The following is a 17,546-nucleotide window of genomic DNA, read 5'->3' on the forward strand; positions in this document are numbered from 1 at the left end:
TTCGCTCTTGTTGCCCAGGCTGGAGTGCGATGGTGTGATCTTGGCGCACTGCAACCTCTGCCTCCCAGGTTCAAGGGATTCTCCCGCCTCAGCCTCCCTAGTAGCTGGGTTTACAGGCACGCTCCACCACGCCCAGCTAATTTTGTATTTTTAGTAGTGACGGGGTTTCTCCATGTTGGTCAGGCTGGTCTCAAACTCCAGACCTCAGGTGATCTGCCCGCCTCAGCCTCCCAAATTGCTGGGATTACAGGCATGAGCCACTGCGCCTGGCCAGGAGTTTATTTTTTATAGCATTAGGTACATCTTAATGAAAACATACTCCTAAAATAGATCAGTATACCAAAAAGACACATGTGCTTGTATGTACATTGCCACATTTCATACATAGTAAAGGCATGGGATCAACCTAGGGGCCCATCAATGGTGGGTTGGATAAAAAAAATATATATGGTAGAGATACATGATGGAATACTATGCAGCCATAAAAAAGAATGAGATCATGTCCTTTGCAGCAGCATAGATGGAGCTGGTGGCCATAATCTAAGCAAATTAATGCAAGAACAGAAAACCAAATACTGCATGTTCTCACTTACAAGTGGGAGCTAAACATTGAGCTCCCACAGACATAAACATGGGAGCAATAGACACTGCAGGCTACTAAAGGGGGAGGGGAGGCGGTGGGGCATGGATTGAAAAACTACCCATTGGGTACTATGCTCCTATCTGGGTTCCATATACCCACGTAACAAACCTGTACATGTACCCCCTCGTATCTAAAATAAAAGCTGAAATAAAAAAAATACTCCTACATGAATACCTGCCTAGAGTGATTTTCATTTTACCAGAAGAATTATAGATAAAGTTTCTTCCTTTTTAAACTAAACTACTCCCTTGAAAATCTAGTGGTGTTGGATGTCAAACAATCATCTGCTGACCCAAAGGGGCTCCTGCCAGCTGCATGGGCACCATGAAGGACTCATGTGAGAAGGCCCGCCTTGATCCAGCATGGCGTATGTGACTGAGGGGGTAATTCCATCTATGTCTGGTTTTGTCTTAACCATCCCACTTTGCAAAAACACTTGATGCCACACTCTGCAACTTGGCCTCTAATCGATTATAATAAAGGTGACATTTAACCTCTCTCTGCCACTCTTTTGCATTATTTTTCCATTTGTTCAGAACTCAGGTTGGGAAGATGGTTGTTACTTATTGGGCCCCCACAGAGACCTCAAAAAGTTATCATAATTTTTGGATAAATCAGTAGTCAAGGATTGTATTATAATTGTGTAAATAATTGTCACTGTTGAACCAAGTAGTATATTGTGATTATGTCTTGTTTCTAGTTTGATTTTTTTCTTGAAGTTAATGAATGCCATGTTTTTTGTTCTTAATTTATTTTTAGTTTTGTATGGACCTATACTATTTTTCCAACTACTATAATTGCTCTGTCTAAAATTTTTCAAGCAGTACACTAAGAGCACTAAGCCTAAAGGAAAAGCCAGGCAGGGTGTGGTGGCTCACACCTGTAATCACAGAACATTGGGAGGCTTAGGTGGGAGGATTGTTTGAGCCCAGCCTGGGCAACATAGTGAGTAGTGAGATCCCCATCTCTACAAAAAAATTCTAAAATTAGCTGGATGTGGTGGTGCATGACTATAGTCCCAGCTACTTGGAAGGCTGAAGCAGGAGGATAGCTTGAGCCAAGATGTTCAAGGCTGCAGGGAGCTATGATTATGTCACTGTATTATGTCACTGTACTCCAGCCTGGGCAACAGAGAAAGGCCATGCCAAAAAAAAAAAAAAAAAAGAAGAAGAAGAAAAGAAAAGCCAACAAAACTAAAAAACATTAATTTTAAGAACTTAAGATCATCAAATGATAAGATTAAGAGAGTAAAAAGGAAAACCACATAATGAGAGAAGACATATGTAATATATATATCCCAAGAAGGATTTTTGTCCAGAATATATAAAGAACCCCTACAGATCAATAAGAAAAAGAGACAATACAATCAGAAGGTGGGCAAAAGATTTTGACGGGCACCTCAAAAAAGAGCATTTCAAATGGCCCTTAAACATATGAAAAGATACTCCACTTCATGAGTCATCTGAGGAATCTAAATTAACATCACAATAAGATATTGCACACCTACCAGACTGGTTAAAATAAAGAATTGTCAAGGATGTGGAACAACTGGAATTTGTACGCACTGCTATTAAAAACATAAATCTGGGCCGGGCTCGGTGGCTCATGCCTGGTAATCCCAGCACTTTAGGAGGCTGAGGTGGGCAGATCACAAGGTCATGAGTTCAAGACCAGCCTGGCCAATATGGTGAAACCCCGTCTCTACTAAAAATACAAAAATTAGCTGGGCGTGGTGGCAGATGCTTGTAGTCTCAGCTACTCAGGAGGCTGAGGCAGGAGAATCGCTTGAACCCAGGAGGCCGAGATCGTGCCACTGCACTCCAGCACTTTGGGAGGCTGAGGCGGGTGGATCAGTTGAGGTCAGGAGTTCAAGACCAGCCTGGCCAACATGGCGAAACCCTGTCTCTACTAAAAATACAAAAAAAAAAAAAAAAAAAAGGAAAAAGAAAAATTAGCTGAGTGTGGTAGCTCGCACCTGTAGTCCCACCTACTCAGGCGGTTGAGGCAGGAGAATCGCTTGAACCCAGGAGACAGAGGTTGCAGTGAGCCGAGATCGTGCCACTGCACTCTAGCCTGGGCGACAGAGCGTGACTCTGTCTCAAAAATAATAATAATAATAAAATAAAAATAAATAAATAAAAACACAAACCTGTACAACCACTTTGAATAACTGTTAGTACTACCTATGAATGCTGAACCTATATAACACATACTCTTTGAACTAGCAGTTCCACTCCTTGATATATACCCAGGCTTGATATATATCCAGCAGAAATGAGCGGATATATTCACAAAAAAACATGTATGAGAATGTTCATAGCAGCACTATTAGTAATAGTCAAAAACAGGAAAGAATGTTCATTAACAGTGGAATGGATAAGCAGCACCGTACTCATAAAACAAAATACCACACAGCAAAGAGAAAAAACAAATTACTTGTAGCATCATGGGTGAATCTCATAAAACGTAATGTTGAATGAAAGAAACCAGGCACAAAAGAGCACAAAATATACAATTCAACTTATATAAAGCCCCAAACAAGGCAAAACTTACTGATGGAGATAGAAGTTAGTTTAGCAGTTACCTTTGTTGGGGGAAGTGGGGGCATCAGGGGATGTTCTGGGTTGCTGGTCAGATTTTATTTCTCAATCTGGGTTCTGATTACACATATTATTCACTTTGTGACAATTCTTTGAGCTCGGCACTTATGATCTGTGTATTTTTCTATATGTATTCTAAATTCTATACTATTTTATGCTGTAATCAGAAAAATTTAAATCACCAGATCATGCAGACATATTGAAAAAATATTGAAAACTTCTAGGAAATAAGACCCGTGTAGATAAGCTCCAAGTCCACGAATTCATCTTTATCTGTAGGATTTGGTCTCTGGAATGATAAATATCAATTCTAATGTGTAGACTTCTCAGAGGTGGAAAGGCCCTTATGCAGCATCTTATCTAATCACCTGTTCATCCTCCTTTGAGGGTAAATATCTAAATGGAAATGCCCAGAATGCATATCAATTATTTTTTGTCTTCCTAGAATTCCTTCCTTGGAGGCTGCTGCTGGACATCCAATACGTGGTTTTGACAGGTTTGTCAGTCACAAAACCCTGCTGTCTACTCCCAACATAGAGGTTGATGTTTGATCTTTGTTTGGCCAATAACACTTTTTTCCCCCAGGAATTTAAGTTTCGAGCTGGTTGCTGAAACCAGCTGAAACACTGACACAGAAGGTGATGAAGCTACATTATCTGACAGCAGTGCCATAGAAAGACAGTTACAAGTCCCTGCTGCTACGATCCTTGAAGCTTCTTTGGGTCTGGCCTCTTGAGGCCAAATTATCCAACAAATCTTTTTATTCTCTGACCTGTCCTATATCCTTTCAATAGATTAATTTTTGCATCATAGCAAGGATCTATTCATATTGCGTTCCAGCAAATAATTAATCCAGCATCAGACCGTCAACCTGGAAAGTTTGGAAACCCAGTGCTATTCGTTCATCCAAGAATTATTAGGTTGCAAAGAAGAGACTCATATTGGTCAAACTCATAGAAATTTGATGTATAAACCACAATATTTATGGATTACTTTATTCTAGGAGATATTCTTAGTGTTAGAACAAAAGCAATCACTTTGCAGAGGCCATTCATTTCACATTTAACATTAACTAATATTAACCAAGAACTGCCTGTTAGGTATTATGGTGAGCAAAGAAAAGCCAAACTTGGTGTTTTCAAATTGATTTTTATAACTTTAAAAATCATGTCAGCTGGGCACGGTGGCTCACGCCTGTAATCCCAGCACTTTGGGAAGCCGTGGCGGGTGGATCACGAGTTCAGGAGATCAAGACCACCCTGGCTAACACGGGCACAAAATTTGCCAGTCTTGGGACGCACCTGTAGTCCCAGCTACTCAGGAGGCTGAGGCAGGAGAACCACTTGAACCCAGGAGGCAAAGGTTGCAGTGAGCCAAGATGGCGCCACTGCACTCCAGCCTGGGCGACAGACTGAGACTCTGTCACAAAAAAAAAAAAAAAAAAAAAAAGGCTTGGGCCAGTCAAGGTGGCTCACGCCTGTAATCCCAGCACTTTGGGAGGCCGAGGCAGGCAGGTCATCTGAGGTCAGGAGTTTGAGACCAGCCTGGCTAACATAGTGAAACCCTGTTTCTACTAAAAATACAAAAAATTAGCCGGGCGTGGTGGCACAGGCCTGTAATCCCAGCTACTCGGGAGGCTGAGGCAGGAGAATTGCTTGAACCCAGGAGGCGGAGGTTGCAGTGAGCCGAGATCAAGCCATTGCACTCCAGCCTGGGCAACAAGAGCGAGACTCCATCTCAAAAAAAAAAAAAAAATCATGTCTGGATATGTTATCCTTTCTAACTCTGCTCCTACAGTGCTACTTAACTCATTTTTCTAAATTACCATTCTGTTGGCTTCTGGTCTACAATCTTCACAGTGATGACCCCGTGCCATCTATATATTGTCCAAAATGCTTTCATTCTCTTAATGGCACCCTCCCTGTACCCAGACAAGGCTTTTAGAAAGCTCTTGTACTGCATTCTGGGGCCTTAGGGAGTTGCTGCAGGTGCTGCTTCCCACTTCTCTTTCGAAGCCTGCTCTGCCCCAGCCTCTAAGTCAGCCTGGTTACCTCATAACTAGTTCTGCCTCTCTGATTAGTTTATCTTGCTTCTAGCCACGCCCCAGTTCGCTGTCTCTTGATCTCCCTCCACCCTACACTTTGCAATCCCATGTGTCAATCTTTTGTTACTTCTTTTCCTGCCTCAGCTCCCAGATCCAGCCTGGAATAGCACAGAAGGAGTTACAACACGGACCGTGTCTTGAGAACCCTCCAAATGCCGGGTGCAGTGGCTCACACCTATAATCCCAGCACTTTGGGAGGCCAAGGTGGGAGTATCACCTGAGGTCAGGAGTTCGAGACCAGCCTGACCAATATGATGAAACCCCGTCTCTACTAAAAATACAAAAATTAGCTGGACATGGTGGCATGCGCCTGTAATCCCAGCTACCTGGAAGGCTGAGACAGGAGACTTGCTTGAACCCAGGAAGGGGAGGTTGCAGTGAGCCAAGATCGCACCATTACACTCCAGCCTGGGCAGCAAGAGCGAAATTCCATCTCAAAACAAAAAAAACAAACAAACAACAAAGCCCTCCAAAATGCAGTGCACTTTCTTTACACGAACATACCTCTCTACCTGGGACAAGTATGTACTCTCTCGCTAATAGAAAATAAAGCATTTCCAACCCTCTGCTGTTGTTTACATTGTTCTCTCTTCTAGGAGTGCCCCCTACTTCTTCCCTTCTTTTCTGAATCCTAACCATCTTTTAAGACCTGCTCTTGAAGCACCCCACAAATCCTCTCACAGATCCCTCAGTGCTCAAGGGATTATAATCTTATCTCCTAGTATAATTATCAGTCTGCAACTTCTTGAAGATAAGTTTTCTACCATCAGTCCTTAATGTCATAAAATTTTCTTTGAATATTTTCTGTGATTAAGTCTTGTCAGGAACCTGGCCTGTTAGATACATGATGAGAGTGGGTTGCAGATATTGGGGACAGTTGCAGGCTAGTGAAGGTAATTGGCATACGGATTAAGGAAGGGCAGGTCTCATACAGGTGCTGCCAGTTCACGAACTAGATTAGTCAAGGATGACAGATATCAAGGCAAGTGGCCAGTATGAGGGATTGCTGAAGTTTGGAGGACAAAGTTGAAGGAACAGTGAGTAAGGCCTTGCTCTACTGGACAGAGAAGCATCAGGCTAAGAATTTGTGGGGAAGAGGTTGCTTCTGTAGCATGCGACATTGCTTTGCACACTCTCTCTTCCACTCAGCAAAGAGCCTTTTAAAAACAGCACTGTTGGTGTCTGAGCATCAATATAAGCAATAGCCACGTGCAGTGCTGATAGTTAGTATGGACAGGTGCAGCCACACTGGTGGCTTAGGGTTGGTCTGTTGGTCAGCTTCTAAGTCATACCCGTTGTTAAAAATTTTTAATATCTCCGTTATATATATGTATAATGTCTCTATTTGTTTTGTTAAATTTCTATCAAGGGCACCAGCTACTCTGCTATTCACATCAAGATTTACATGATAAATTTCATTTGGCATTGAAAACTCAGGATGATGAATAACTTTATGCTGTAGTGCACAGTTCCAATTCACATCAGCACTGAAGTCCCCAGAACTGTCAGTTTCTCTCTATGGCAGTGACTACTGAAAATTTGTCTGGGTTTCTTGGATTTCATCCAGTATATCGGCCAGAGAAGGCATCTGTTTTATATGTCAATCTCCTTCTTGCCTTTTTTTTTCCCCTTCTTTAATTTGGACTTAAACTTTTGCTGAGTACGTAAGTAAAGCACTGGAAGGTTCCCTCATCATTTGTTCATTCATTTTTCCAACAGATATTACAGAGTTCCTACTATGTGCCAAGTACTGGATGACACATGGTAAGCAAAACCTGATGTGGTCCTTGTCCTCATGGAGTTTAGTGTCAAGTAGATAGTTAATGGCAGAATAAAATAAGCCAAGAAGTCATGGCACCACTTGTGGCTTTAATCTCATCCCCTAAACCTTGTTTGGTCAATTTTTTTCCTTTCTTTCAACTTCAATATTTTTCTTTCCTTTTTTTTTTTTTTTGAGACAGAGTCTCATTCTGTCATCCAGGCTGAAGTGCAGTGGCAGGATCTTGGCTCACTACAGCCTCCACCTTCCAGGTTCAAGTGATCCTCCTGAGTAGCTGGGATTACAGGCACCCACCATCATGCCTGGTTAATCTTTGTACTTTTAGTAGAGATGAAGTTTCACCATGTTGGCCAGACTGGTCTTGAACTCCTGTCCTCTGACCTTAGATGATCCACCCACTTCAGCCTCCCAAAGTGCTGGGATTACAGGTGTGAGCCACCGTGCCTGGCCTCTCAACTTCAATCTTTTCTAATAAATGATCTTCTCCCTCTGCCCACCACCATGTTTATGTCTCCCTTTTCCTGAAATGATAATCTTCTTTACTTTTTTTTCTAACTTTCATTTTACGTTCAGGGTACATGTCCAGGTTTGTTTGTTTTTTTTTTTAATTTTTAAATTAAATTAAATTTAATTTATTTTTTTAAGACGGAGTCTCGCTCTGTCGTCCAGGCTGGAGTGCAGTGGTGCGATCTCGGCTCACTGCAAGCTCCGCCTCCTGGGTTCACGCCATTCTCCTGCCTCAGCCTCCCGAGTAGCTGGGGCTACAGGCGCCTGCCACCACACCCGGCTAATTTTTCTGTAGTTTTAGTAGAGACGGGGTTTCACTGTGTTAGCCAGGATGGTCTCGATCTCCTGACCTCGTGATCCACCTGCCTCGGCCTTCCAAAGCGCTGGGGTTACAGGCGTGAGCCACCGCCCCAGGTTTGTTTTATAGGTAAACTTGTGTCATGGGGGTTTATTGTACAGACTATTTTGTCATCTAGGTACTAAGCCTAGCAACCAATAGTTCCTTTTTCTCATCCTCTCCCTCCTCTCACCCTCGGCCCCAGTGTGTGTTGTTCCCCTCTTTGTGTCCACATATTCTCATCACTTAGCTCCTGCCTGTGAGTGAGAACATGCGGCATTTGGTCTCTCGTTCCTGCATTACTGTGCTATGGATAATGGCCTTCAGCTCCATCCATGTTCCTGCAAAGGACATGATCTCATTCCTTTTTCATGGCTGCATAGTATTCCACAGCATATCCATACCACATTTTCTTCATCCATTCTGCCATTAATGGGCATTTAGGTTGATTCCATGTCCTTGCTATTGTGAATAGTGCTGCAGTGAACATATATGTCCATGTGTCTTTATGGTAGAAGGATTTATATTCCTTTGGGTATACACCCAGTAATGGGATTGCCGGGTTGAATGGTAGTTCTATTTTTAGCTGTTTGAGGAATCACCACACTGTTTTCCACAATGGTTTCACTAATTTACACTCCCAACAGGGTATAAGCATTCCCTTTTCTCTGCAACCTGTCCAGCATCTGTTGTTTTTGACTTTTTAATAATGGCTGTTGTAACTAGTGTGAGATGGTATCTCGTTGTGGTTCTGATTTGCATTTCTGTAATAAGAATCCTCTTCATTTAAGTTTTTTTTTTTTTTTTTTTTTTTTTTTGAGAAGGAGTCTTGCTCTGTCGCCCAGGCTAGAGTGCAATGGCACAATCTCGGCTCACTGCAACCTCTGCCTCCTGGGTCCAAGCAATTCTCCTGCCTCAGCCTCCCAAGTAGCTGGGATTACGGGAGTCTGCCACCACACCTGGCTAATTTTTGTAGTTTTAGTAGAAACGGGGTTTTGCCATGTTGGTCAGGCTGGTGTCGAACTCCTGGCCTCAGGTAATCCACCCACCTCAGCCTCCCAAAGTGTTGGGATTACAGGCGTGAGCCACGGCGCCCAGCCCATTTAAGTTATTGATTACCATCCTCTCTCCCCACCAACAGACCTCACAAGGGAGTCAGGCTTGACCCCTCACTGACCACTTACTTCTTGACCACTAGTAATCCTGCTCCTACTCCTACATCTCCAGGTGGCCAGGTGATTTTAGTGCTCTGTGCATTACCTGCATTTGGTTAACTGAGGGTTCTTCTTCATTTCTATGCTAACAGGGAGCAGCAGGCAAGCAAAACCCTTTAAGTCTGTGAAACTCTGTCTCTGAAAACCTTTCCCTAGACTCACTCCAGCAAAAATGCCTCTTGTAGGAAGCAACTAAGCATTTGACCTTGGATAAGTCACTTAAGTTCTCTGGGCCTCAATTGTTTGATCTGTAACATGAGTACATTGTACCAAGAATTCTTTCCTGCCTTAGGAGTTTGTGGAGGTAGGAAACTCAGTCCAATTAGATGAGGAAAGCACCAAGAGAGTGTTGCCAGTGTCTCCTGACCCTAGGAACAATAGGAATGCAAGGAGATGGCAGTCTCTGATGGCTTGGGGAGAAAGAGTAGTTAGGGAAATGGGAGGCAAGCAGAGGTTAGGAAGTGTGGAAGAGAGGAGGGGTGAAATGAATTCTTTCTTAGAATCATAGCTATACACATGCATTGAATGAGAAGCTAGGTGCAGGTTCTGAGCTGGTGGACCCAGGATGTGCTGGCTCCATGAATGGAAGTACATACGTCTCCCCTCCCTAAATGAAGATGTGTAGTACAACCACTGACTATGGTGATTAGTTGAATACATTAATACATTAGAAGAGGAGTGTCTGGAGGGCAGGGAGCCTCTTTTCGGTCTTTACAGTTTTCAAGCCCACCGTAGGAAGTAGGCACTCAGTTTGTTAAATTGAACTGAAGAATATTCTTAGATTTTATGCAGCTTGGTAATGAAGAGAAATTCTGGGCATGAATCAGAGTGATTAATACATTGAATTATTTTAGCATTAATGTTTGTACTTTATACGTTCTACTTACATAAAAACCGTCCTCATTTATTTACTTGTTTATTTATGTATCTTTTTTTCCTGCAATGTAAACTTTTGAGGACAGAAATTTTCCACTGCACCCCCAACACTTAGAATAATGCTTGGCCCATACTGGGCTTTTAATAAATGTTTATTGAATGATTGCCCGAGTGAATCTCTGATTCCTGTATTTGAAAGCTTGCAGCTTGCCAGCTTGCCTTTGGGATTGAGGAAGTAGAGCTGGGAATTTCCCCTTTCTGATTTCTCATGCCTTCCCTCTGCCTAAGTGGCAGAATTTGGATAGCCTCCGGAAGGTGAGACGGAAAGAGAAGTGTGTCCCCTCATCTCCTGCCAAGCTGAGAGAGTGGGCCTTTCTCACCACCTAGCCACCCAGGAGGTTCCACTACCACCTGCTTGAACCTGGTGCTGTCTGCAGCTTAGTGGTGTCATGGGAGTGTGGAGAAGGTTTGGACAGGGGATGGCCAGCCCTCCATGAGTTGTCTAAGGGCTCCCCAGAAAGGAAACGCTTGCCTGGGGACTTTTCAGAGGGCACTAGTGGGCACCCCCATGAGCTCTCACCCATGTATCAGCTGCCTTGCTAGATCCTGTTTCTCAGCACCAGCAGCGGGGAGGGCCATCTTCATGAGAAAGTTCACAGTCATCATTGGTCAGCAGAGATAGGAAGGAATGAATTGGTGTGTCAAAAGCTGTTTAGTTGCATCAGCACATGAAGTGCACAAGTGTGGGTTCTTTTGAAAGTCAAATCTAATAAAAAATAAGGCTGTTGGCATTATGCTGGAGGCAGAGGCCCCACCCTCAGGGAGCTCAAAAGCTGGTGGAATCCACTATCTAATGAAGGTGGAAAGAACGTCATCTTAGCAACTATTTCCGTTGTTCTCAGACAGGCTGGCTGAGCAAGAAAAAGGATAACGTTTCTCTTCAGTGGCCTCTGCCTTCCTTTCTGTGATACTTACTTCCTCCAGTGTCCTTACCTTCCCCAAATGGGAAGAAAACCATCAGCTTGATTGAATCCATGAGAGGCATAAGGCACAAGCAATTTGCTCCTCCTTTTACAAGTATTTGAATTCTTGATAGTGATAGCTGATAGTGATATGAACAATAAGGTCCAGGCTGAGGTGGTATCAGATGGAGATGAGGAACTTGTTGGGAACTGGAGCAAAGGTGACTTCTGTTATATTTTAGCAAAGAGACTGGCAGCATTTTGCCCCTGCCCTAGAGATGTGTGGAAACTTGACTTGAGAGAGATGATTTACGGTATTTGGTGGAAGAAATTTCTGAGCAGCAAAGCATTCAAAAGGTGACTTGGGTGCTGTTAAAGGCATTCTGTTTTAAGAGGGAAACAGAACATAAAAATTCAGAAAGTTTGCAGCTTGACTGTTTGATAGAAAAGAAAAACCCATTTTCTGGGGAGAAATTCAAGCTGGCTGCAGAAATTTGCATAAGTAGCAAGGAACCTAATGTTAATCTCCAAGACCATGGGGAAAATGTCTCCAGGGCATGTCAGAGACCTTCATGGCAGCCCTTCCCATCACAGGCCTGGAGGCCCAGGAGGAAAATGTGGTTTTGTGGGCTGGGCCCAGGGTGCCAGTGCTGTGTGCATCCTAGGGACTTGGTGCCTTGTGTCCTAGCCCTCCAGCCGTGGCTGAAAGGGGCCAATGTACAGCTTGGGCTGTGGCTTCAGAGGGTAGAAGCCCCAAGACTTGGCAGCTTCCACATGGTGTTGAGCCTGTGGGTGCACAGAAGTAAAAAATCGAGGTTTGGGAACCTCTGCCTAGATTTCAGAAGATGTATGAAAACGCCTGGATGCCCAGGCAGAAGTTTGGTGCAGGGGTGGGGTCCTCATGGGGGAACCTCTGCTAGGGCAGGGTGGAAGGGAAATGTGGGGTCAGAGCCCGCACACAGAGTCCCTACTAGGCCACTGCCTAGTGGAGCTGTGAGAAGAGGGCTGCTGTCCTCCAGACCCCAGAATGGTAGATCCACCGACAGCTTGCACCATGCGCCTGGAAAAGATGCAGACACTCAATGCCAGCCCACGAAAGCATCCAGGAGGGAGGCTGTACCCTGCAAAGCCACAGGGGCGGAGCTGCCCAAGACCATGGGAACATACCTCTTGCATTAGCATGACCTGGATGTGAGACCTGCAGTCAAAGGAGATCATTTTGGAGCTTTAAAATTTGACTGCCCTGTTGGATTTCAGACTTTCATGTGCCCTGTAACTCTTTTGTTTTGGCCAATTTCTCCCATTTGGAATGGCTGTATTTACCCAATACCTGTATCCTCATTGTACCTAGGAAGTAACTAGCTTGCTTTTGATTTTACAGGCTCATAGGCAGAAGGGACTTGTCTCAGATAAGACTTTGGACTGTGGACTTTTGGGTTAGTGCTGAAATGAGTTAAGACTTTGGGGGACTGTTGGGAAGGCATGATTGGTTTTGAAATGTGAGGACATGAGATTTGGAGAGGTCAGGGGTGGAATGATATGGTTTGACTGTGTCCCCACCCAAATCTCAACTTGAACTGTATCTCCCAGAATTCACATGTGTTGTGGGAGGGACCCAAGGGGAGGTAATTGAATCATGGGGGCTGGTCTTTCCTGTGCTATTCTTGTGATAGCAAATAAGTCTCATGAGATCTGATGGGTTTATTAGGGGTTTCCGCTTTTGCTTCCTACTCATTCTCTCTTGCTGCCGCCGTGTAAGAAGTGCCTTTCATCTTCCGCCATGATTGTTGGACCTGTGCCATATAAGAAGTGCCTTTTGTCTTCCATCATAATTGTTGAACCTTCCCCAGCCACGTGGAACTGTAAGTCCAATTAAACCTCTTTCTTTTGTAAATTGCCTTGTCTTGAGTATGCCTTTATTAGCAGAGTGAAAACGGACTAATACAATCAACTTTTCAATTTCATGTATGGGAAAGGAAAACAAAATACCAAAATGTTAACAGTAGTGGTTTTTGAGTTGTGAGCTACAGGTAATTTCTATTTTCATTTATTAACTTCTCTGTATGTTCTCAATTTTCTACAATAACCATAATTAGGGAGGAATGATTTGTTTAAAGGATTACCCTGAGATAGCAAATTATAAACCCAAAGGAATGAATCTTTGTTGTTGAAATTGTAGGCACTATGGTAAGCTTGGGGGTGGGGATATGTCTGGCATCTCTCAAAGCACACAACACAGGCCACTGCCAATCCAATCCTCCTACGTGTACAACTGGCTTTGGTATCCAGACTTCAAAACTGAGATGCAGCTGCTATAGCAAGTCTGATTGAAGCCTACATATGTTAGGGAGGCATGCCTGTGTTTTACGCCATTAATACTCAGAAAATAGATTATCTTTTAATCTCAGGAGGGTGCGAGGAAAGCATTCATTGCAGTGTGCTTTTAATAGTGAAAGATTTAAAATAACCAAAATGTCCATCATAAAGAATATAATCTCAAAAATTTAGATCTAAAAAACAAAGAAATTTTATGGTACCTTAATCTTCTTAGTTAAGATTAATGTGCATGAATAATATACACCTTAGGAGAAACAAGACAGTTGTCGAAACTAAAAGATGTGAAGTGGTCATTCAGGAAAGGAAGACTAATACTTGCACATGTTCACACCTACCTTGCTATTGGGTCCAAGACCCAATAGGTGTGAACATGTTCAAACATCTTTCTTGGAACTGAATATAACACTGGAGAATTCACCACCAAGCCTGAAGCAAGATAATATTGCTAAGTAGTTAGTTCTGAAAAGTGAATTAACTAACATAGAATCTAAGAATATTCTAAAAAATAACTGCTGCATAATGTATGGAAATAAAGTTATAGTAACTAATCAACAAGATCTGCTGAAGAGATCAGAGATCCTATTTTTTGATAATGGAACACTGACATAGTATTTTTTATTTGACTTTTAAAAATCAGGCTGGGTGCGGTGGCTCATGCCTGTAATCCCAGTATTTTGGGAGGCTGAGGTGGGTGGATCACTTGAGGTCAGGAGTTCGAGACCAGCCTGGCCAACATGGTGAAACTCTGTCTCTACTAAAAATACAAAAATTAGCTGGGCATGGTGGCAGGCGCCTGTAATCCCAGCTACTAGGGAGACTGAAGCAGGAGAATAGCTTGAACCTGGGAAGCGGAGGTTGCAGTGAGCCAAGGTCGTGCCACTGTACTCCAGCCTCGGTGACAGAGTGAGACTCAGTCTCAAAAACAAACAAACGAAAAAACCCCAGCTTCCTGGGCAATAAGTTTTATCACTCAAATAACTGTTTAGAAGGGTACTAGAACTGAGAGAAACTCTAAGAAACTTAATCCCAGACCAGTTTCACATGGAGGCAAAAACCATTCAATTTGCTTAACTGTAGCTAACTTCACAAATATCATTTTTTAATTGTTAAAAAGAAATTTATAAGATGCTCCAAATGGAACTCTATGAATATGTAATACGTACTTCTACTTAATAACACATGCTGGAAGATAGTAACCTTTAGCAGAGCCAAGATACAGTTTAAATACAGCAGAATTTTGATAGACTCAAAGTAAATCTTAGCTGTGTGTAAAGGGGTCAATGTCCAGCCTGGACTGCAAAGTAGACTGAGAATTGTGTTGTTCGGAAACAATAAAGTTAAGATAGGTATACAATGCTATGTCCAGAAACCCCCCACCCAAAGCACTGCACCTGGGTCGTAAATTGGGGCTGCTTCATTTTTACTGATATAATTGCCAACACCAAAGTTTGTGATGTCTATGGTTTTAGAGAACAATGTTTCTGAGTGAGTAGGAAAGCTGTAGTCACTTGAAGAAGGGGGTTATTATGATACTTTACAGCTGCAGCACGTCCTTAGGAGACATTGCATCCTGTTAACTTTGCAGCTGACTTTATCTGTGCCTATTTTTCTAGCCTGATGAACAGTTGAGCTGATTTTTTACCTTCTCAGTGTGAGCTAATATTTACTTTCTCATGGGCAATCCTAAATGTCAAATACTGTATTGAGTGCTTTACATACATTATTTCATTTAATCTTAGCAACAATCCTTTGAGGCAAGTGCTAGCATCCTATTTTACAGATGGGGACACTGAGTCTTGGAGATGTTGAAGTGGTTTGGCCCAGGTTTCATACAGCTAGTAAGTGACAAACCCATTTCAAACCTGGGTCTCCCTAACTCTAAACCTAGTCTTCTTAACCTCTATCCTTTAAGCAGATGTAGAAATTAAAGATTATTCAAAGTGAAATGGGTAAAATACAGAGCTGGTTATGGGCAAGTGGCAGGCTCATGCACTATGGCTAGGACCACAGATTGAAACAATTTTCTGGAGGCCAGTTTGGTAAATAATGTAGTAAAAAAATTAACATGTACCCTTTGAGCCAACAATTAATCTTCTAGAAATTTAAAGAAAATAATTTCTAAACTGCACGGAGGCATGCATTAGAATTACAGCATGATTTACAAAAATATACAAACAAAAATACAGACAATGTAAACATTTTTAGTAAGGAATTAAATGGCTAAACAGATACACAATGCAAGAGTATTTAACTATTAGGATGAAAATACATTGTACAGTAAAAGGCACCAGATTACTGATGAGCATTTATCATGTGATTTTATTTTATTTATTTTATTTTTTTGAGATGGAGTCTCACTCTGTTGCCCAGGCTGGAGTGCAGTGAGGCGATCTTGGCTCACTGCAGCTTCTGCCTCCTGGGTTCAAATGATTCTCCTGCCTCAGCCTCCTGAGTAGCTGGGATTACAGGCACCCACCACCACACTGAGTAGAGACAGAGTTTCACAATGTTGGCCAGGCTGGTCTTGAACTCCTGACCTCAGGTGATTCGCCTGTCTCGGCCTCCCAAAGTGCTGGGATTACAGGCGTGATTTTATTTTTATGTAAAATTGACTACATATAGTGTATTTATATGTGCAAATATATATAGAGAAAGGTGTGGAAACATGTTTACTATGTTTCTCTCTGGCTTGAAAAAGTTTATTTTTAAACTTTTTGTGCTGTTCTTTATTGACTGAATATTTTGTGAGTCTGTATCAATTATTATAAAACAAAAAACTATTTGAAAAAAAGAATGTCAAAGTTAAATCAATTCTTGCCTCAGTAACTGGAGTAATTTCATGCACACTAGCCATATATTTTATAGAACTGGAAATCTATTATGCTCTGGAGAAAATCCAACAGGTATGTTCTAGATTTTGCCCGTAGAACTAGGCTGTTTCTAGTCCACCAAAGGATTATATTAATTTATGGAAACAATAGGGTTTGGACTAAAACCAGTTCTATCTGGGCTATAAGAGTTAAATGTTGTCTTACATTTTTATTTATAAATATCTTCAAAGCATTTTCATTTAATTGGAGTTAGTCTTCCTTGTTGATTGGCATTGTATTTTGGGAGTAAATAAATTTTAAATAGCTAAGGTAAATGGATTTTAGAGAGGCTACTTGTACAGTCACGAAGTAAATCTAATGAATCTTTTGGCCCTATATTTAGGGTTGCTCGGGTGGATTAGTAAAATGGGCCTGTTTAGTAAAAGTAGATGGAGTCTGAGAGAAGTTGAGTATGACCAGAGAAAAGATTACCAATTGGAGACATAAAAGGGTGTTATAACTGCTTTGACAAGTGATTATGACTTGTAGAGGAAGGAGAAAAAAGTCAAAGAGTTATTATTTAAGAAACATTACCAGGCGCAGTGGCTCATGACTGTAATCCCAGCACTTTGGGAGGCCGAGGCTGGTGGATAACCTGAGGTCAGGAGTTCAAGACCAGCCTGGCCAACACGGCGAAACCCTGTCTCTACTAAAAATACAAAAAATTAGCCGGGCGTGGTGGCGGGTGCCTGTAATCCCAGCTACTCGGGAGGCTGAGGCAGGAGAATCACTTGAACCCAGGAGGCAGAGGCTGCAGTGAGCTGAGATCGCGCCACTGCACTCCAGCCTGGGCGACAAGAGCGAGACTCTGTTTCAACAACAACAAAAAAGAAACAGTACCATTCTAGAAAAGAACTCTCTCTTTAGCATACATGGATGGTTATGGCAATATAAATTAACACCTAAATAATTTGTCATTCAACAAAATCTTAGCACTGTGTGTCTTGAGGATATTTTAAAGTTAATTACGACCCCGGGCTGCAGAGTGGGAGATTGGAAGAAGGAAATTCAGGAGTTGTTTTGTTAACAGTTGAAGCTGTGGAAATAAACAGTCAACCGAAGCCAGAGGAAAGGAAGGAAAAAAATAAAACCTTGAGGATACCAACATTTTTTATGGCCCCGTAAAAAAGGAGCAGCCCAAGAAAAGTGCAAACGAAGGCAAGTTCAGAAATCAGGTAGAGAGACTCATATTGAAGACAAGGGAGGAGAGTTTCAAAAAGGAGGAGTTAGCAGTATCACGTGCTGTAGAAAGGCCACACGACAGTAGGACTGAAGTGGCCACTAGATTTGGCCTTCAGCACTTACTAGAGTCTAGT

The 17,546-nt window shown here is 42.4% G+C and overlaps 1 annotated feature.

The window, feature by feature from the left end:
* Nucleotides 10,591-10,885: an enhancer, noted in NCBI's record as "tiled region #4589; HepG2 Activating non-DNase unmatched - State 21:Repr, and K562 Activating DNase matched - State 5:Enh". NCBI's record gives its function as "activates a minimal TATA promoter and a strong SV40 promoter by Sharpr-MPRA in HepG2 and K562 cells {active_cell/tissue: HepG2 | K562}" and the evidence as "EXISTENCE:reporter gene assay evidence [ECO:0000049][PMID:27701403]".

Source organism: Homo sapiens, chromosome 2 (genome assembly GCF_000001405.40).
Source record: "Homo sapiens chromosome 2, GRCh38.p14 Primary Assembly".
Lineage (NCBI taxonomy): Eukaryota > Metazoa > Chordata > Mammalia > Primates > Hominidae > Homo > Homo sapiens.